This window comes from Homo sapiens, chromosome 2, assembly GCF_000001405.40.
Source record: "Homo sapiens chromosome 2, GRCh38.p14 Primary Assembly".
In the NCBI taxonomy this organism is placed as follows: domain Eukaryota; kingdom Metazoa; phylum Chordata; class Mammalia; order Primates; family Hominidae; genus Homo; species Homo sapiens.
The window spans coordinates 177,636,384-177,658,564 of NC_000002.12; the positions used below are offsets into that span (position 1 = coordinate 177,636,384).

At 40.8% G+C, this 22,181-nt stretch overlaps 1 protein-coding gene across 4 annotated transcripts in view, besides 1 other annotated feature; it reads right to left on the reverse strand.

The window, feature by feature from the left end:
• The window catches only part of PDE11A (phosphodiesterase 11A), a 485,096-nt gene that overhangs the window by 13,140 nt on the left and 449,775 nt on the right, over positions 1-22,181 (reverse strand). The gene's annotated exons all lie outside the window — the stretch shown is intronic.
• Positions 21,193-21,693: an enhancer, noted in NCBI's record as "H3K4me1 hESC enhancer chr2:178522304-178522804 (GRCh37/hg19 assembly coordinates)". NCBI's record gives its function as "activates a minimal SCP1, AML or CMV promoter by ChIP-STARR-seq in naive H9 embryonic stem cells {active_cell/tissue: H9 hESC(naive)}" and the evidence as "EXISTENCE:reporter gene assay evidence [ECO:0000049][PMID:30033119]".

The following is a 22,181-nucleotide window of genomic DNA, read 5'->3' on the forward strand; positions in this document are numbered from 1 at the left end:
TACTTGAATCTACTGAAATCTCTTACAGCATATCAATCATTTTTGACCAGTTACAGGTGTTTTCAGTGTGTTTCATGGACTCTTACTGTCATTAGCAAACTTTTACTGAATGCTTAGTTGGAGTCAGACTGTAATAAGTGCTTAACACTGTCATATAATTTTCTCAGGAACTTTATGAAATGGTTACTATTATTATCCTCTTTATATATATATAATTAAGAAAAACCAAGGCCTGGATGAAGAACTCACTCGTGGTCATTCACTTGGTAAGTGAAGAACTGAAACTGCAGGGTTTCTCTACCTCAGTACTATTGATGTTTTGGGTTAGATAATTCTTTATGGTGGGGGCTGTCTTTTGCATTATAGAATGCTCTAGAAGCCAGTAGCATCCCTCCCCAAAGTTGTGACCACCAAAAATGTCTCCAGATATTGCCAGATGTCCTCTGGGGAGCAGCATCTTCCCAGTTAAGAACCACTGCTCTGCTGCCTCTAAGCATTATCTCGTCTCCATCAGGTCTTCAATGAACTCAGCTTCCCCTCAAATAGAAGGAGGAATAAAAGTAACTAGCTACAGTCTGAACCCCAGCAGCATCTCTGGTAGCAGAGAAGGAAAGACTTCTTCTTGGGCCAAATACATACTCTTCCTCACCTCCTTTTTCTGAAGACATTTAGGAAGGAGAAATAAGAGGAGTTTCTATATATTGAATGTTCACTGTGCTGGGCTAGGGCCGGGGCCTAAAGGCCATTATCTCATAAAATCTCCACAGCAGTCCCACGAAGTAGGTACTTTTATCATCTTCACTTTATAGATAAGGAAATTGAGGTTCACTTAGGTTAAGTGCCTTGTCCATGGTCATATAATGAGAGATGGAGCCAGGATGTTTACCTAAGTCTTTCTGACTCTAATGCATTGTGTAAAAAATTCCTTCCCTAGAGAACTAATCCTTCGCCACTCAGCTCACATTCTGTCTTCTCTGTGAAGTCTTCTCTGGTCTTCTGGTATGGAACCAGAACTCTCCTTCCTTAGGCATGCCTGTAGCACACTCTCCATCTCTCCAATTCTATCTATCGCACTGAAAAGGTATTTGCATTTTTTTGCAGTTCTTCAAAGATCCTGTTCTGGATTGTGTTTTTGTCTCTTTGTACTTGTCTTTTTTCCCCCTTCTGGGTCCTTTTAAGCCAAGTTTTAAAAGTGCTGGTTTTCAGCAATTTGATTCTCATGTGCATTGCTGTAGTGTCCTTCATGTGTCTTCTGCTTGGCTTCATTGAGAATCTTGGTTCTGTACATTTATTTCCACCATCCTGTCTTCAGCTATGTTTTACATCTGTCTTTTCCCTCTGGGACTCTAATCATACATATTTAGCCATTGGCATTGTCTCACAGCTCAAATGATGCTCTGCTCATTTCTCTTCCATCTTTTCTATATCATTTTGGATAGTTTCTGTTGCGTCACTGAGTTTTTCTTTTGCAGGGCTTAATCTGCTATGGATCTCATCTACTATACATATATATATATACATATATACATATATACACATACATATATACATATATACATATATACACATACATATATACGTATATATATACACGTGTATATATATATATATATATTTTTTTTTTTTTTTTTTTTGAGATGGAGTCTCGCTCTGTCACCCAGGCTGGAGTGCAGTGGCGCGATCTCCGCTCACTGCAAGCTCCGCCTCCCAGGTTCACGCCATTCTCCTGCCTCAGCCTCCTGAGTAGCTGGAACTACAGGTGCCCGCCACCGTGCCCGGCTAATTTTTTGTGTTTTTAGTAGAGACAGGGTTTCACCGTGTTAGCCAGGATGGTCTCGATCTCCTGACCTTGTGATCCACCTGCCTCGCCCTCCCAAAGTGCTGGGATTATAGGCGTGAGCCACCGCGCCCAGCCTACTATATTTTTTTTACCTCAAAAATTAGCGTTTTCTTTTCTAGAAGTTTGATTTGGGTCTTTTTAATATCTTCCATGACCCCTTAATCATGCTCAATCTTTCCTCTACCCTCTGAAATATCTAAGTATAATAACTATCTTAATGTCTTTTTCTACCAAGTCTATGATCTATATAATCTCTGAATTTGTATTGATTGATTTTTCTAATTATTATGGGTCAGATGTTTTTGCTTCTTTGCATGCTTGATAATTCTTGATGAATATCAGACATTGTAAAGTTTATATTGTTGGGTGATGGATTTTTTTTCCTTTGCTTTAAGCCTTCTTCAGTTTTGTTCTGGAATATAGTCAGGTTATTTGGAAATAATTCAATCCCTTTGAGGCTTGCTTTTCAGCTGCGCAAGCTGGGTCCAAAGCAGCCTTTTTTTTTGTGGAGGGCTAATTTGCTCCCACTACTGATGCAATACCCTTCTGAGAACTGCATCCAATGCCTCATGTATTTCAAGGCTTTTCTTGGGTACTCTAGCTGGCAGGAGCATGGACTATTTTCCCCAGGCTGTGTGACCTCTGTGGATCACTTTACTTGCTCCTTTTTGCTTCAGCCTCAGTAGTTTCCTCACATGGATATGATGAACATCACTAACCTGAAGACTCAAAGTGGCCCTCTGCAGATCTCTGGGCTTTTTCTGTGCAGTCCTCTCTTCTCTCTTACTCTTCCCTGGGAACTGTAACCTCTTTGGCCTCCCTAGACTCCTAGCTCTGCCTCCTTAACTCAGCAAGATCACTGGGCTCTGCCTGGATTCCCCCTGCCTGTGCCGTGGCCTAGAAATTCTATCCAGGCCACAAGCTGGAACAGTTGTAGGACTCACTTCATTCATTCCCCTTACTCAGGAACCACTGTATTATGTTGTCTGTTGCCCATTGTCTGAAAAGTGTTGTTTCATATATTTTTCAGGTTTTGGGGTTTTGTTGTTGTTGTTGTTTTGTTTTGTTTTGGCCCGTTACTCAACCATGGCTAGTAGTAGAGGTCCCTTATCACTGGTTTTAAAAACTCTGTCTTGCTTAGTATCCCACAAGCTCAGAGAGACAGTGGAAACAAGGCCTTTTATCTTTGTATCTTCAACATCTGGCACAGTGACCCCAGGAAGCAGCAGCCTCTCCTCCATTCTTCCCCATAGAACAGTGGCAGGAAGAAGGGTTAAGGCTAGGACAGCTGCCAGTGGCTGAGAGTGGGGTTAGGATGTTCTGACCTGCTACAAAATCCTGCTGTAAAAACACATCTAGAATGAGCCACTTGGGAAATGGATATATTTTCTCTTATTACCATTATTCCTGGGCCTTTGTTTTTATCAGTTTGCCAACCTGCTAGGAGCCAGATCCTGGCCTTTGTGTTTCTCTGCCATCGTGGTCCACATCTGTTATCATCTGGCTCAGTTTGTGCTTATTAGTTGACCACAGTTACCTCTTGGAACCCAGCTGCTGGATAGATAGGGCAGATGTGGGACAAGGGAGGAGCAGAGAGAAGTCATGCTCTTAGAAAATGTGAGTACTCCTATACTCTGTTGTTGGAAAGGGGCATAGAGGAACCCCATCAAATTAAAACCAGATTAGTGTTTGAACCTGAAAATGTCCAACGGTGTCATTAATATATTTTTTAAAACTTTGAGGAAATTGTCTGACTATTCATTTATTAAGAAAAAAAGACATTTATTAAGAAAAAAAAGGACAAAGAGAGAAGATGGTTTTGGCCCCCTATTGTTGAAATCTATTTCCAGAGTTGCTAGTGACATCACTTAGTATTTTTTGCCTTCTCTCACCCCCACCTTACCCAAGAGAATCAGAAACTAAGTGACACAATATACCATAGAGGAGAAAGAACTTAGAGTATTTTTTAATGTTGATTTTTAAAACTATAAAGTTAGACTTGGAACTTATCTTACGTATCTGTTTGAGGCAGCGTATTCCTGTTATGAGGTCATGATCACTTTACTACCATGATTATTCCCTTTCTGGAGGAAAATATCAAAAAAATCATTGGAAGTTGGTATTTTGAAATGGAAAACCACTGATGATATGACCAACTGTTATCATCTCTGCTCAGATTCTTCAGCAGGAGGGACAAGAGAACATGCAAATGGTGGCAGGCCCTGAAATTCTCATGAATTCGTGTGCCTGTCCAGCAGTTACAGATGCAAAGAGCATCTTCAAGAAACAGCTTCCTGTTCAAGGTGTATGACTTCAGAGACAGGTAGCCAATTGTGGGAGCAGAGCCTAAGTTATAAATTAGTGAATTGTTGAACTGCTAATCCCTCTTAGGTCCAAAGGTTAAGATTATTCATGATTTAATCTGAGATACTCCCAGATTTTACATGCCACACCTCAGTGCTGCAGTTGGCTGGAAATCACTTTGGCTTTCCAGCCTTCTACTTTTTTATGGGTTGTAGAGGCCAGAAACTCAGTGGACGGACTGTTTACAACTGAATTCCTCACCTTCCCTCAAGCCTTCCTCTTACGTTTACTCTGTCAGGGAACTGGGCATTATCATCTATCTAGCTGTCCTACCCAGAAATCCATGGGTCATCCATGACATCTTCCTCTTCCCCTTACATCCAATCTGTCACAAAAGTCCTGTCAATCCCACTTCCAAAGTTTCTTTGAACATGATTCTGTTGCCATTTCCACAACCCTGGTTTAGGCTACCATCATCCCCCTGACTGTTTTAAATCTGCTGCAGCCTCCTAACCAGTCTCCCAGCCTTCCTCTGCCACTGTCCAATCGGTACTCCATATGGAAGCCACCATGGAGCAGTCAATCAGAAACAGAAACCTGAGCTTGCCATTCACTTCTCTGAGACTTTCAGTGGCTCCTATTTGATATGAATATGCTCATCATCGCAAGTCCAAATCCCTCAATGTGGCCTATAAGACCCTATCAGAAAAGAGTATTGTGGTAGTAAGAGAGAATGAAATCCAGAAACAAAACAAAACAGAAACAAAACCATAAAGACTGATGGAAAACTTGGGTTATGGTACAAAAACAGAACTTTGAAATGCCAAAATAATCCCACTAAGTTTTCTAGAAATCCTGAAGTACACATCTTTATATGCATTTTCACGTTTTACTGAGTCAAAAAAAAAAAAAAAGCTAGACTCCACATGGTGCGTTTGGCAGGAGAGAGCTAAAATGTTAGTTACTATATGTGAGAGCAGATGGAGCTGGCTGTGGAGTCCAGATGGGAGGCAGCAAACAGACTCCTCCTAAACCTCACTCCTTCCCTCCCCAGTTCAATGGCTTTTGAAACTCAAGGTTGTGTAAAAATTAATTTGTATTAAATTGCTTAAGATAATGTATTAACTACCATAGAAGGCTTCCAGCAGTTTTTAAAACTTGCTTTGAAAAACAAATAATCAACCTATAATGGTGAACACAGAAGGAAGCCCAGACTTCCTTGGCTGTTTTTAAGCATTCACATTAAAGATACCAGCCTTAAAAACATATCTTTTTTGTGTTATTTGCAGAAGTTGGAAAATTAATAATAATTATTTATGTAGGTTACACATGTAACTGTGTAAGACACTGTGGTATATTTGTGCTTCATATAGTTTATCTCATTAAATTCTCAAAACTACCAGGTATGTGCATTATCAACCCGTTTTAGAGAGGAGAAAATCAGGCTCAGAAAGGCTACATAATTTGCCTGGGGCCACAGAGCCAGGGTTTGGTCCCAGGTCTCTGACTCCAGAGCCCAAGTTAGTAACCACCTACCATATGTGTAATGCTGGCATGTGAGTTTGAATAGGTCAGCCTGCTGGTTAGAATTATGAATGAAAAGTGCATTTCTAGATAGGAATTGCCTGTTTATCTTCAGGAATATCTCATTAGCTAATAAATGTTTTCCTTAACAGACTCAAGTGCTGCTGTGGTCTCAGACATGTTCATATGACATAGGTCTATGGAGGTCAAGATTGGTCAGAAGGCAAGTAAGAGGCAGAGTCACCCTGGAAAAGAGTGAACAGGGTTCAAGGTTACCTACATACAAGGCTGAAGTTTGGCAACACGACCAAGGGTGAAATAATAAGAAAAGACTTAGGCAGAGGCAAGGACTTAAATAGCTGATTCAGTGGGTTCATAACAGCTGAGTTCTTCTCAGACTAGAAAACAATGGAGTTTAAAGGGCTCTAGCTTTATAATTCCTGCCCTGTTTAAGGACATGGTCATTTATTCTGCCAGAACTGTGGTATCCCTAGCAGAGTTTGTTAGTTGCCTACCCAATACACGTTTTAATTTACCTTGAGCTTAGGAGTGGCCAGGGAGATGTAAGCAGAATTCATAAAGGCTCAGAGAAAACTCTTTAAATGGGGCTTATTCTGCTGGGAGGTGCATTCTCTTGCTCTTGTCCCTATCTGTTTCTTGCTGTTGGAATATTGATATGGTTTGGCTGTCTCCCCAACCAAATCACATCTTGGATTGTAACTCCCACAATTGTAACCTCCGCCTAGGTTTTAGACGTGACATGTCATGGGAGGAACCCAGTGGGAGGCAATTAAATTATGGGGGCAGGTCTTTCCCATGCTATTCTCGTGATAGTGAATAAGTCTCACGAGATCTGATAGTTTTCAAAATGGGAGTTTCCCTGTACAAGCTCTCTCTCTTTGCCTGCTGCCATCCATGTAAGATGTGACTTCCTCCTCCTTGTCTTCCACCATGACTGTGAGGCCTCCCCAGCCGCATGGAACTGTAAGTCCCTTAAACCTCTCTTTCTTTTGTAAATCACCCAGTCTTGGGTATGTCTTTATCAGCAGTGTGAAAACGGACCAATACAGTAAATTGGTACCAGTAGAGTGGGGCATTGCTGAAAAGACACCCGAATATGTGGAAGCAACTTTGGAACTGGGTAACAGGCAGATTTTGGAACAATTTGGAGGGCTCAGAAGAAGATAGGAAAATGTGGGAAAGTTTGGAACTCCCTAAAGGCTTGTTGAGTGGCTCTGACCAAAATGCTGATAATGATATGGACAATGAAATCCAGGCTGAGGTGGTCTCAGATGGAGATGAGGAACTTGTTGGGAAGTGGAGCAATGGTGACTCTTGTTATGTTTTAGCAAAGAGACTGGCAGCATTTTGTCCCTGCCCTAGAGATTTGTGGAACTTTGAACTTGAGAGAGATGATTAAGGGTACCTGGCGGAAGAAATTTCTAAGCAGCAAAGCATTCTAGAGGTGACTTGGCTGCTGTTAAAGGGCATATGAAACACAGCATAAAAGTTTGGAAAATTTGTAGGCTGACAATGCAATAGAAAAGAAAATATCATTTTCTGAGGAGAAATTCAAGCCAGCTGCAGAAACTTGCATAAGTAATGAGGAGCTGAAAGTTAATCCCCAAGACAATGGGGAAAATGTCTCCAGGCCATGTCAGTGGTCTTCAAAGCAGCCCCTCCCATCACAGGCCCAGAGTCCTAGGAAGAAAAAATGGCTTCGTGGGCCAAGCCCAGTGTCCCCCTGCTGTGTGCAGTCTAGGACTTGGTGCCCTGCATCCCAGCCACTCTAGCCATGGCTAAAAGGGGCCAAGGTACAGCTTGGACAGTGGCTTCAGAGGGTGCAAGCCCCAAACCTTGGCAGCTTTCATGTGGTATTGAGCTTGCAAGTCCACAGAAGTCAAGAATTGAGGTTTGGGAATCTCTGCCTAGGTTTTAGAGGATGTACGGAAATGCCTGTATATCCAGAAGGAAGTCTTCTGCAGGGGTGGGGCCCTCATGGAGAACCTCTGCTAGGGCAGTGTGGGAGGGAATGTGGGGGGGAGCCCCCACACAGAGTCCCCACCTGGGCATTGCCTAGTGGAGCTGTGAGAAGATGGCCACCATCCTCCAGACCCCAGAATGGTAGATCCACTGACAGCTTGCATTGTGCACCCGGAAAAGCTGCAGATTCTCAATGCCAGCCCATGAAAATAGCTGGGAGGGAGGCTGTACCCTACAAAGCCACAGGGGCAGAGCTTCCCAAGACCACAGGAACCTACCTCTTGCATTAGCATAACCTGGATGCTAAAACTCTTGTTTTAACACGGAGTCAAAGGAGATAATTTCGGAACTTGAAGATTTGACTGCCCCACTGGATTTCAGACTTGCATGGGGCCTTTAGCCCCTTTGTTTTGGCCAATTTCTCCCATTTGGAATGGGTGTATTTATCAAATGCCTATACTCCCATTTTATCTAGGAAGTAACTAACTTGCTTTTGATTTTACTGGCTCATAGGCAGAAGGGATTTGCCTTATCTCAGATGAGACTTTGGACTGTGAACTTTTGAGTTAATGCTGAAATGAGCTAAGGCTTTGGGGGACCGTTGGGAAAACATGATTGGTTTTGAAATGTGGGGACATGAGATTTGGGTGGGGCCAGTGGTGGAATGATACAGTTTGGGTGTGTCCCCACCAAAATCTCATCTTGAATTGTAACTCCCACAACTCCCACATGTCGTAGGAGGAACCCAGTGGGAGGTGATTGAATTATGTGGGCAGGTCTTTCCCATGCTGTTCTCATAATATTGAATAAGTCTTAGAAAGTCTGACAGTTTTAAAAATGTGAGTTTCCCTGCACAAGCTCTCCCTCTTTGCCTGCTGCCATCCATGTAAAATGTGATGCTCCACCTTGCCTTCCACCATGATTGTGAGGCTTCCCCAGCAACGTGGAACTGTAAGTCCATTAAACCTTTCTTTCTTTTGTAAATCAACCAGTCTTGGGTATGTCTTTATTAGCAGTGTGAAAACGGACTAATACAAATATGCACATGATAGTTGGAACCAGAGTGGCCATCTTGTGACTATGAGGCAAACTTGACTACGGCAGCCATGTGCTAAGGAAAGATAAAGGAGAACTAGGTTTCTTTATCTTTTTCTTTCTTTTTTTGTTTTTACATAGAGTCTCACTCTGTCACCCAGGCTGGAGTGCAGTGGCACAAACTTGGCTCACTGCAACCTCCACCTCCTGGGTTCAAGTGATTCTCTTGCCTCAGCCTCTCTAGTAGCTGGAATTTCAGGTGTGTGTCACCAGGCCTGGTTAGTTTTTGTATATATATAATCTTTTTAGTAGAGACGGGGTTTCACCACGTTGGCCAGGCTGGCCATGAACTCCTGACCTGAAGTGATCCACCACTTTGGCTTCCCAAAGTGCTGGGATTACAGGCATGAGCAACCATGCCTGGCCAAGAACTAGGTTTCTGATGGCTATGGAACTGCCATATAATAGCAGTATAGCATTGGCTTTTCTAGATTATTTTTATTTTTTACTAGGAGCTAAATATAATTCCTAAATGAGAAAATTGATTTCATATTGTAGGTCTCTATTTTCTGACTATCTGTGCAGGTGGCACAGTGTTTTGGGCATCTTGATACTCAAAGATAATGCTTAGTATGAAGGCATATTAGCTCATTAGAATCCAACACAAGAATAATTCAGATTTGCAGTTGGAATATTAAGGGCATAGTCTACCCAAGTTATAACAAAAGATGATGTTTGTAGCATCAATGTCTAATATCCTGTAAGCTAATTATACTATTAGTAATAAGTTAGGAAGAGACCATTTTTTCCCCAAGATTTGAAGCAGATTAGTCGTGCATGTAAAAGTGAAAATGCAACAATGCATTACAGCAGTTTTATCTCCTTCTTTCTTTTCTCTTTCCAGTTCCTTCCTGACCTCTCAAGTTACTTGTTTTGCTTATTTATATGCACAAGAGATTCTTTTGTGGAAAATAATATTCACAAATGACATTAACATTCTGAATTAATGAGGCAGGAATGTTAGTCTTTTTGGATTAACTGCATTGTTATTTCCATAATATAGGGCAAGAGTCTGAAACTAAAATGTTTACAGGGCCAGGCCACTAAAGTTAATGACTGAAATAGGCTGCATGATAGAGTTGGGAGTGGTGGGGACTATGGCAAACTGGACATTTTACAATTTTAAAAACTGTATTCAACTGAATGAAACAAGTCTGTGAGCTGAATCTATTCTGTGGGCCACCTGTTTGCTTGCTGTGATAGAAAGTAAAGCACATCTTGCTAACATGAATTAACTACTGAGTATTCATGTGCCCTATGTTCCAGGAGCCATACTTGGAGTTCTTCATATGTGACCTGATTACAACTCAGAATGGTGCTGTGAGATAGCTATTATTGGCTCTGTTTTGGCAGATATGGAACCTGGAATTGGAAAAACTAAGTTAAAGAGCCAAAGTTTACATGGTTAAGTACACAGCAGAGCTGAAATGTCAGTCCAGGCTTGGCTGAGTACCAGGCTCATGGTGTCTTTACATCAGGGGTCTCAACTGGCACACTAGTAACAATGGGTATCTCACACCTTACTGCAGTGTTGAGGACAATGGTGCAACTTTTTTTGTTCTATGTCTCTGATGCTGGTTCAGAACAGATTCACAGGAAAGTGGAGGTCTTGCTGAGTAAAGAAGAAACACCACTTCCCAAACGTTAGATGTAGTCTGTGCATCTTTTATCTTTGACTCATCTACTCTACCCTGCCCTGGGAAAATAAAACAAGAGTTCTAAGTTGTAAAGGACAGGCAAGCCTAAAGACAGCTCATGTAAATGGGAGCAAGAACAGTTTCTTGTGTTATAATGAGCCCCTCCAGAATGCTGTCCTTGGTTATCCTGTTAGTTGGATTTTCAGAGCAGACTGGTAGCTAATCAATCATGTTCATTGTGTAGGCAACTTCTGACTTGGAAGGAATGGCTGCTGACCCAGAAGCCACAGCCTTTGATGAATGGGGCTTCTTACAAGAGGTGGTTGGAACATGTAACTAAAAAGCAGTCACGTGGTAATAATCCATTTTCCATATACTGGAATGTTTTCTGCTAATACCATCACCTGAAATTTCATAGAAATATATAAAACTATTATTTTTTCAAAGTTCAATGTGTAAAAAGGATCACTTAAAACTTTTAGTTTGTTGAGCTGCAAACATTCATTCACTGTACATTTTTTGTATATTTCCCACATGCCTCAAGTTCTAGGATTTCCTAAAATAATGGATAGGGTGTCTGTGTGGGAATGGGTTTACAAATACAGAATTGCCAATATCTGTCCTTGGTGTGAATGGTGCTCGGTGTAAGTCACTATAGGACCTCAAAGAATGTATTCTAGAATATTCTATTAGCATTGGTTCTAAATTTTTAGCTTATATTTGAGGGTGCCAAAAGAGTCCCAAAAGAGAGTCCTAACTATACACACTACTGAACTGCTTAGTGTGCACCATGCAAATATGATGACTACTGAGCATTTCTTGCAAGAGTTTAAAGGTGGCTTCCTGCCTAGCACCAGACATGCTTAGTTCTGAGACGGGGAGGAACCATCAAGTCCATGAATCCCAATGTCCCGGATCTACAGAGGACCAGACCCAAAGCATCGAGGAGAAATGCTTTGTCTTTAGGTAAAGATCCTTGGGGGATAAAAATCCTTTATTATGTTGGTGGTCTCTCTCCCTATGGCAAGGGAAACTTCTTTTTCTTAATTTTACAGCCTGATAAAGACAGTGGGCCAACCTCAGTAGCTCATGCCTGATCTTTGGGGGGCTGAGGTGGGAGGATCGCTTGAGACCAGGAGTTCGAGACCAGCCTGGACAACACATTGAAACCCTGTCTCTACAGAAAAATTTAAAAATTAGCTTGGTGTGGTGGTGTGCACCTGCAATCCTAGCTACTCAGGAGGCTGAGGCAGGAGGATTTATTGAACTCAGGAGTTCAAGGTCACAGTGAGCTATGATAGCACCACTGTACTCTAGCCTGGGTGACAGAGTGAGACCCTGTCTCCAAAAAAGAGTGACAATTTTGAGATAATAAAAAGATAGAAAGGGAATATGTTACATATACCACTAGGTATATGTCTGAGGAGGATATTGTATCATTAGCTGGCCTTCTCTTTGTCCTAGAAAGGGGCCAGTCTGTCTACTGGAAGACCCGGTAGAAGGTATGTTATTGTGGCTCTTCTTTAACTACATTGCTAACTCCCCAAAAGCCAAAGATATGGGAAAAGTTTGTTTGTGTAGGCACAGAGGGACCAATATTTTCAGTAGTTTTATTTCATTTTTAGAGTGCAGTTTAAGAGGGAATATAATAACTTTATAAATTAAACTTCCTAATGGGCAACATTTTCTATCTTTTAAATGTTGGAAAGTTTCATATTAATTTAACTCTCGAACATTCACCATGTAAAATTAAATAAGCAGCCAGTAAAAAGACAAACCAGATTTCCTTTTGAACTAAATTTTAAAGCTTATGTGAAAAAATAAGAATACCTAGAAAATATTGAAAAAGAATAATAAGGAAGGTGAAACTAGGATTATGAGACATTAAAATATATTATAAAGTGATATTAATTAAAATAGTATAACTAGGCAGATAGATCAGTAGAACTGATAGAAAGACTAAAAATAGAAACAAAGTTAAGGGAATCAGTATATGATAACAGTGACCATTCAAATAATAAGGAAAGAGTTCAGTCAAAAACTGATGTGAAGAAAACTAGGTAAGATAAATAACAAACTTGGAAACATATTTGTCACCTTTGCAAATAATAAGGGTTTATTTCTTTAATAGATAGTGAGCTCCTATGGATCAGTAAGAAAATAGCCCTAGTTCAATAGAAAAATAGGCAAAAATATAAAGCATTTACAGAAGAAATACAAATGGCTTCTAAGTAAATAAATCTATACTAAAAATATGATCATACTTATTTATAATATGGAAAATGCTAATTGAAACTATAATGAGATAGATTTTATAGCTATCGTATTAGCAAAATTGAAATTTGGTAATACATTGTGTTGGTAAGGGCATAGAGAAATAGGCATCTCAGACATTACTGATAGGAATGTAAATTGGTTCAAACTCCACAGAGAGAAATTTGGTGATATCTATCACGATCTCAAATGCTTATATGCCAAATGCCCAGTTATCTTATTTCTTGGTATTTCTCCTAAAAATAAAGTATGAAAATTGTGTATTTACAAGAATATTTATTGCACATTGTTTACAACAGCAAACAATTAGACACAACATCAATGTCCATAAATAAATAATTAATTGTTGTTTAAATAATTTATTTTTCATCTTTAAAATCTAATACTATGCAGCCATCAAAAAGAATGAGACATCTTCTGCATGGAGACTGAAAAAGAATAATCTAAAAAATAAATTAAGTGTAAAGAAGCAAGATATGGAGCAGGATATACACTATGCTCATATATGTTCATAGATACATATGCACTTACACATAGATACATATGTGTGAGCATAGTATATATAGATGCATGCATATGCACTATATTTACATAGAAAACAATGTAGAAGCATTATGTATTAAAAACAGTGTAAAAACACACTGTATATAAACTATCTTTAGAAGCATACGCAGGAATTGGTTAACAGTGGTTGCCCCAGTGAAAGGAACTGGGTGACTTGCAAAAAGGAGTATGAGGGAGGATCTCTTTTCTCTGATAATTTGTGCCTTTTGTACTTTGTGAATTGTGTTCACTGAGGGTGTCTAAACTATTTAGCAATAAAAAATTTAAAAGTCTATCATGAACAGATAAAGGAAATAGCAATCTTTGGTCATGTGTTAGAAATATTAAATCACCTGATTGGTTAATTGTTAAAAAAGGCTTACAAGTACAGGGGCACAAAGTAGAAATGCTTATTTCCACAAAGATCAAAAAAATTTAGTGCTTTACCACCATAATTCAAAAATAATTTTAATACCTTAATGTATGTTGCAATAACATCGTATATAAATAAACACCTCCCTCCTCCCACTCCCCCATCCATATCACAAATAAAGGCTGACTACCTCATTGCTCCTCAGCATTTCCTCTGAAAAGCGATCGATGTCTCCTGCCTGGCCATTAAATAGATTTTGAAAAACTCTTCAATCCCTATCAGTCTCATATCCTTATTTAGTTCCTCAAATTTGCCCTCAGCTGGGAATTCTGCAGGCAACTGTGATTCTGTTGTGTTCACCACTCATTTGAAGGGTCCCATCCATCATCATTTCTAGTCCTTTTCTGATGCAATGTAGCTTGTTATTTGTCTTTCTTATAAACTGAATGGCTGTTAAATTATCCATTTATCTTCCTTCAGATTTTCTGTTCAGTTTCTCAGGCCCTATCAGGGCTGTCTTTTCTACCTTGTTTGCTGACTTTTCATTCCATTGCCCCTGTTCTTGGAGGCATCTTGGTTCACCATGCTGCCCTTCAAAACAAACTCTCTGGTTCAGTCTGCTTTTTGCTTGTTTGAAAGCAAGCAGAACTTGCTACTTCAGTAGATTTCCTTTTAAAATTTTTTTCCTTAGAATAGTTTTGAAAACTTTGAGGTAATATATTTCAAATTTTATACATAGATAGTAGGATATATTGGAACAAACCTTAAACAAAAAGTCCAAAGTCTAGGGTTCTAAACCCAGCTCTGCCATTATCAAGTCAGGTCACTTAATAGTGACCTTTCAGGGTTTTGCTTTCCCCTCCTACAGATGGTCTGCAGGTATGCACCTAGTTAATTATTCTAGTATAAAAATAGCATGTTTCTTCTGTTAAAGGTGACCCAATAAATGATCTGAGGTTTGTATAATACTAACACCTGCACATACATTATCTCAGGCAGCACTAGGTCATACTGGTTAGGAGTCACAGATTTGAAAGCAGAAAGAATCTATGCCCTGTCACTTACTATATATTCTTAGGTAAGTTACAGAAGCTCTATAGCTTCAGTTTTCACATCTGAAATAAAAAGATCCTCATAGCATCTAACTTGGTATTGTGAAGAGAATTAAATCAGATCATGCTTGGAAAGTTAGTCTTGAGCACATACTAAGTGCTCAAAAGTGTTGTTATGGACTCACTACATCTTTGTGAGACAGGAAGCTTGGCTATTATTATCCAAATTTACAGCAGAGATACTGAGGTTGAGAGATGATATTAATGATAACAATAGTGACTCACATGCTGGAGGGCTTTAACTATAATAGGTGTACTCTTCCCAAAGCTTTTCCACATACTTCACCTCCCTTTGTTCAGACTCTTGGAAAGGTTGATATTGCCTATCATCAATTCCATTTGCTCCAAGAAGAAAGTCACTTTGTGAGGCCCAAAACCTTTAAAAAGTGCAGAGTGAAGCTGCTTTCAGCCAAACCTACGAGCCAGTGGTGATCACCATAAAAAGAAAGCTGAGGATGGCGAGTCCTCAGTTTATGAGTGTAGAGGGCAGGTTTGAAAGAGGACAGTTAGAAAAACACTCAGCCCTTACTGCCTCCTCTTAGGCCCTCTTCTTAGGTCTTTTTTTTTCTCCCTCCTGCTGTCTCTCTTTCTGTATGTCTCTGTTTCTCTATTTCTCTTTTCTTCTTTAGATTTTTCAGCTGTTCAGATCACCTGTAACACTAAAACCTAAATTCGATGATGATATATTGAATCAAAGACTTGGAGAATAATTTGTCCTTTTTTGTTATTTTATGGTTCTGTAGCTCATCCCTCTGCTTGTAGGAGTTATTGGTTCAGATGCTGAAACTCCCCTAATTCACTGGGGCGATTGTGAGCAGCAAGTATACCCTCCCTAGTTTCTCATCCGTGAAATAAAGGCAGGAATGTTAACACCGCCACAGGGCAATTCAAGAGTGATAGGTTATTTCAGGGCATCCTGAAAGCATAAGATGCTGAGGAAATGCAAGCGCTTACTAGTAACAATGTGATAACCCGATCTTTCCCGTTCCTGTCACTCTCTTGCGCTTGCTTTGTTGCTGAGGCAGCCCTGTGGGGTCTCCCAGTGGCTGATAACAACACACACACACTGCTGCTGCAGCTTGGATGAGGGAAGAGGTTGGTAGATTCAGCTGTGCTGGGCATCCTGGCTGAGTAACAGAGACAGTGAATGTAAACAATTAAGATGTTCTAATAAAGGAACCCAAAGAGGGTCCCAGAGGCTAGAATATCTACCTCCTGGGGGCAAACAGAGGTTTCCTAAGAACATGTCATCTGAGCAGAGTCCTCAAGTAAGACTAGGAGTTGCATGGGGAGAGGAGGGGAAGGTAGGCCTGCAGACGGCTAGGTGAGCACAGGCACGGGGTGTGGAACATTTAGCTTATGGCAAGAGCAGAGGGTACAAAGGAAGGAGAGAGAGGAGGTGGGATGGGAAGGTCAATTGTGCCAACTAAGATTTTTTTCCTGTAGTAAGGGGGAGGGAGGGCCTGAAGGACTTTAAACAGGTGAGCCATGCAATCAGCTGTGCTTTGGGAGGATAGCTCTGGTGGTGACATGGAGCCTTGAGGATGGGACTATACGCATGAGACTGGGATCAGAGTGGAGGCAGCTGGCAAGGAGGCAGTCAGGAGACCCTACTAATATAGGGAATCCAAATGAAGGAGAAAAATCATGATGGCACAGCTAGAAACTAATAGAGAAGAAAAAATACCCCAGGCATTTTGGCCTTGTTTTACAACATATTTCTTAGCTTTTTGATGGCAATGGAAGCTTTTTTGAAGTTGTCTTTTGTTTCCTGCCTTTACTGTATGCTCTGAATTCCCTTCTCTTTCATGCTTTTTGGTTTGCATCTATTCTTTCATATTGGAGGCTTTGCTCAAACATTCTGTGGACCTTATCTGTTTGCATATATTTAAATGCAAGGCACTGAAAGACAAAAGACCTATTCAAGGCAGAGTACAAAGTGGACCAGGGCAGGTAAGTGGGAGAGCTGTGATTGTCAAATGGTGGCTCCATTTTAAGGGCATCCTGCAGGGAATTGGTTCATCGAGAGAATATGAAGTGCAAGTCCATGCAGATCTTTTCTCTGAGGCTGTTCTGTTTCCCTAGAGAAGATTCCCACTTTTCTGCTTCTGGGGATATCTGGCTGCTGGCACTCCAGGTGCAGAGTCGTAGGGCATCTGAGAGTCCAGCAAATCATTCCATGGGCTTTAGATTTCAGCCATGGATTCTCTCCATGAGTGCTCTGAGAGAACTCTCCAGTCTCCTGACTTGGCAGTGGCTACACAGGCTGTTGACCTGGCTGTGTGGGTTGTGGGAGATTCCTGAGATCCCATTTACCAACTTCTAACCTTTCTTTCCCTCTTGTTTCCAGGCTGATTTCTCAACCTCTCTGTCGTGAGTTGACTCGTGTACTCCCAAAAGCTATGTTGAAGTTCTAACCCCGGTACCTGTGAATGTGGCCATGTTTGGAAATAGGGTCTTTGCAGATGTTAGTTATCAAGGTAAGGTGAGATCATATTGGATTAGAATGGGCCCTAAATCCAATGGTTTGTGTCTTTATAAGAAGGTCATGTGAAAACACAGACACAAAAGAACGTTATGTGAAGGCAGAGGCAGAGGATGTCAAGAACTGCTAGCAGCCATCAGCAACGAGGAGAGATGCATGGAACGGACTCTCCCTCAGAGCCTTCACAAGGAACCACCCCTGCTGACACCTGAATTCTAGCTTCTAGAACTGTGAGCAAATACATTTCTGTTATTTTAAGCCACCCAGTTTGCTGTACTTTGTTACAGCAGCCCTCGGAAACTAACATATCCACCCTTGGCTGTTCCTAACTCCTGAGCCTCTCAGGCATTCCTTCTGAAAGGCAGATCGGCTGGCTCCCTGTTGCTCTCCCCTTGTGCAGACATTCTGGGAGATTACTTCCTTCTTAGCTTCCAATATTTGAGGATAGCTTATCTCCACTTATTTTCTGTTTCCTTCAGAGTGTATATCTTTCTTTGAAAAAAAGAAATGCAACTTTATTATTTCTAATCATGCTTAATACTATTAAATAAGTCAATAAAATGAGGCACCAAAGTGCTCATTTCAGAATTATCTCTATTAGGAAAAAAGTGTGGGACAATTAAATAAATTACAACAAGTCAATTGATCGGAATACTAGGCTGCCATTTCAAAGGATAATGTGAAAGTTGGATGCGGTGGCTCATGCCTGTAATCCCAGCACTTTGGGAGGCCAAGGTGGGCAGATCACTTTAGCTCAGGGGTTGGAGACCAGCTTGGGCAATGTGGTGAAACCTTGTCTCTATGAAAATACAGAAAAATTAGTCAGGTGTGGTGGCGTGTGCCTATAGTCCCAGCTACTCAGGAGGCTGAGGTGGGAGGATTGCTTGTGCCTGGGAGGCAGAGGTTGCAGTGGGCCGAGATTGCACCACTGCACTTCAGCCTGGGTAACAGTGAGACTCTGTCTCATAAAGAAAGAAAGAAAAAAGGACAATGTAAAAATTATGTAGAAACATGGAAACATATTAAGAACTTTATGTTGTGACCAAAGCAGAATACACTCATGTACCCTGGTAAAAATGTGTTTGGATGTGGACAGTAGTATGAAGGGGTATCAGGAATAAGAGAATGTGAGGTTCTTATTTCTCCCAACAGTCACTCTTGACAATTTAGGTATTCTCTAAGGTGATGTATATTTTCTTTACTGTTCTCATTTGCTTTTGATACCTCAACAGCAGAGTTTTTAACATTCACATATATTTCTCCTTTTTTCCTTCCTCCCTCCTTTCCTCCCACCCTTCCTGCTTCTTTCCTACTTCTTCCGAAGAGAGACGAAGAAGAGAGGCTCATGAAGAAAAGGCAAATAAGCTTTTAAAATATGCTCTCTAAAAAAACTATAAAGTTACTTAAGGGAAGAGAACATTCCAAGCCTTGTAAGGACTTGGGGTTAAGACATTTAGCTTCATTATTCCAAAGCAGAAATCCTTTAAAAAAGAGTTACGTATGTTGGTCAGCTGGATAAGAAGAATTTAAGATAAGAATTAAGATCTTATCTTAAATCTGTCCTCAAAAACCTTATTGTGGGTATATCCTATTTTTTTCCATTGGATTCCAGCATTTTAATATGGATTCATGGCACTGTTTGAGCTCATAAAATACATATGAATAGGAATATATTAATACTAACATACAAAGAATGGGTATTTTTTTCAAAGTTTTATGAAATAAAACAAATTATAGTCCATTTTATTTACCAAAAAATATGCATAGAGATGGTTGTTTATCAGGTCAAAAGACTTTTTGGAGGTGAAAAACATCAGGTATGCTGGAAGAACTCTGAGATGTAGCGAAGGGTATGAGATGCCTTCACCTGCCAATTATCATGCATAATGTTGGAAGGAACAGGAACTAATCCATTCTTCTATTAATGAGTCCTCACTGCTACTCAGAACTTCTTCCTGCCCAGCACGTTCTTTTTTACTTTTCCTTTCTTTCTTTTTTTTAAAGAGATGGGGTCTTGCTCTGTCACCCAGGCTGGAGTGCAGTGTTGCAATCATAGCTCACTTCAGCCTCGAACTCCTGGGCTCAAGCAATCCTCCCACCACAGACTCCCAAGTAGCTGAGACTACAGGTACACACCACCATGCCTGGCTAAGAACAGAGCATATTCTTAGTTGATGTTTGTACTGATTACTTTTAGACACTACAGGATCCTAAAAGTTTTCTAAGTCAAAGAAAGATTAAATTTTAATCATGATAAATTTAGTGTATTTTATTGTATTATAATTTCTCGAAATCATATGTATGCAATATACAATATACATTTCTTGAAATCTATCTGTGACATATGCTAGCTCCATCTCTTAACCTGAATATTAAAATAACTAGAGGACTACATTTTCTGGCAATGCTGGATAAAAGAAAATTTAATGTATTTCCTAGCTGAAAAAGTCAAAGCTCTGAATTCATGGCTATTAACTGGCCCTTTACAGTAGAATTCAACTATGATGAGAACTAAACCACTTTATAAAAAGATATCATAGGCCATATACTCCAGATTATGGGCAGGAATATAACAGTGCATACTCTGATGAAAGGTTTTATACATAGTCATGCACCTTATAATGGCATTTCAGTCCATGATGGACCATATCTACAACCATGGCCCCATAAGATTATAATATCATATTTCTACTGTACCTTTTCTATATGTTTAGATGCACAAATATTTACCATTGTGATACAATTGCTTACAGTATTCAGTGCAGTAAAATGCTGTACAGGTTTGTAGCCTGGGAGCAATAGGCTATCCCATATAGCCTAGGTGTGTATTAGGCTGTACAATATAGGTTTGTGTAAGTACACTCTACGATGTTTGCATGACGAAATTGTCAAAGATGCATTTCTCAGAATGTATCCCTGTTGTTAAGCAACACATGACTGTATTTATAGGTGATAACTAAATGACATTATAAGCTTACTTCATACATTCCACTGCTTATACTGCATCCCATCATTCACTTTTCTGTTTCTTCATTCCTTTGTTCAACAAACATTGGCTGAGCAGCTCTAATGTGCTAGCACTGTGCTAGGTGCCAGGAATATGGTGGCTCCAGGAAACCCGTCTAATGGGGAAGAGACAGAAAGATAATCACATACAGAGTGTGTGGTTATAAAGAGATGGAGACAGTGCTGTGGAATGTTGTGGGGAAGTAGAGGTTTTACAGAAGTCACAGCTTGGGCTGGTGTCTTCCAGGCACATATGAGAGCGAGGAGGCATAGGCAGAGGCCAGGGAAGATGGACCAAAGGGCTAGTGAGTCCTGAGCTTGGGCAAAGGGTGTCTGGTAAGGAAGTGGGCAGGGTGAAAGGAGATGAGGCCAAGGAATAGATGTGAGCTTCAGAATGAATGAGGGGGTTTCCGAATGCTATACCGAGGACTTCGGAAGGTACCTTATAGATGGTGATAGTAACCTGAGGTCTTTAAAGCAGGGAGATGCTGTGATCAGATTTCTTTTTAAAAAAACATCATTTTGTCAAAAATTTGGAAGATAGACTGTAGTGGAGGGGCCTATAAATTACATAAAACCAACACTTTTGAATATTAATGTTTCTCTTCCATTCATATTTGACTAATAACACATAGAATATTTTCTGAGATAAACAGGCTTTACTATCTATCAGCACTCAGATTTGGGTACATTATTATGTAACAAGGACAATATTTTGAGAATGGTAAACCAGTGCATTTTCCATTCTGTTTGAATGGTGATGCCTGGGGCTCCTCTCCCGTCATCTCAGTAGGCTTCCCTCCTTCAGGCAAATGGCGGTTCCCAGCTAGAAACAAGCTGCCATCATTCAGCTTTGAAAAAGAATAGCCCTACTTGTAGCTTTGCAAGGTGAAGTGGCTTTCTACATTTCAGAACTCTCCTTTCTCTATTAAGAACCAAACCTGGCTAAGTTAGATCTTCAAGTTTTACTACAAAGCTCTAGCAGGAAGAACACAGAGGAGACCATGTAAGGATAGTTCCCATCAGGAAAAGCAAAGCAAATGGAAATATTAGGGGAAGAGGGGGAGTGGGGAGAGGGGCAGGGAGAGAGAAGAGAGGAGAAAGAGAGAGGGGAGAGAAAGCAGAAAGAGGCGGGTGAGAGAGAGGGAGAGTAGTCCTGGCTTCACATTCCTTGGGGGTCAAACCTTTAAGGGGAGGGCTTTTATTTCAAATTTCAGAGCCTAATTCAGGAAAATAATAGAATCTTCCTAAAGCAAGTTGGTATCGCCCAGGCAGCATATTAGAAAAGACTTAGGAAGTTATGTGGACAGCAGGGTGAAGAGAAAGTAGCTGGGAGTTCATGGGTGCCCCAGGGGGACTGAGGAAATGCCAAGAGAACCAATCAGCTAGAACTGGCCAGGAAGCTGCTGGGGGTGGTGAAGGGGGCTTGCCAAGAGGCTGCCACAAGGACCACAGACTTAAGTAGCCAGAGCTGGTGGCCAGGGCTGGCACAAAGTACTCATCACACCCACACCATAGTCACACGGGGCTGGCACAGCATCACAGCCAGAGTTGCGACCAGCCACCTCTCAGTTAACCCAGAAAGACCCAACAGGCAAGATGTGTACCAGGGGTCCTTCTCTTGAAGGTCACAAAATCATCACAACCATAGGTGAGTTCCCTGGTACCTAGATGTCAGCTGGGGAGGAGAAAGAGCTCTGATTAGGAGTACTTTAACCAGAAGAGATTGAGATACTTTAATAGTCAAGTTTAAATAATAGTCCCTGAATGCAGCCACCACCCTACTCCCCATCACCAGGAAAAAGTGGAGCCAGATAGATCAGTTATAGAGAAAATAAGAAGTTGTTTTCCTTCCTTTCTTCCTTCCTTGCTTCTGTCTTTCCTTCTCTCCTCCCCTTCCCTCCTCTGCCTCTCCTCCCTTCCCCTCTCCTCTCCTCTTCTTTTTTCCCTCCCTCTCTCTCTCCTTCCCTACATTCCTCCCTTCCTCCCTCCTTCTTTCTTCCTG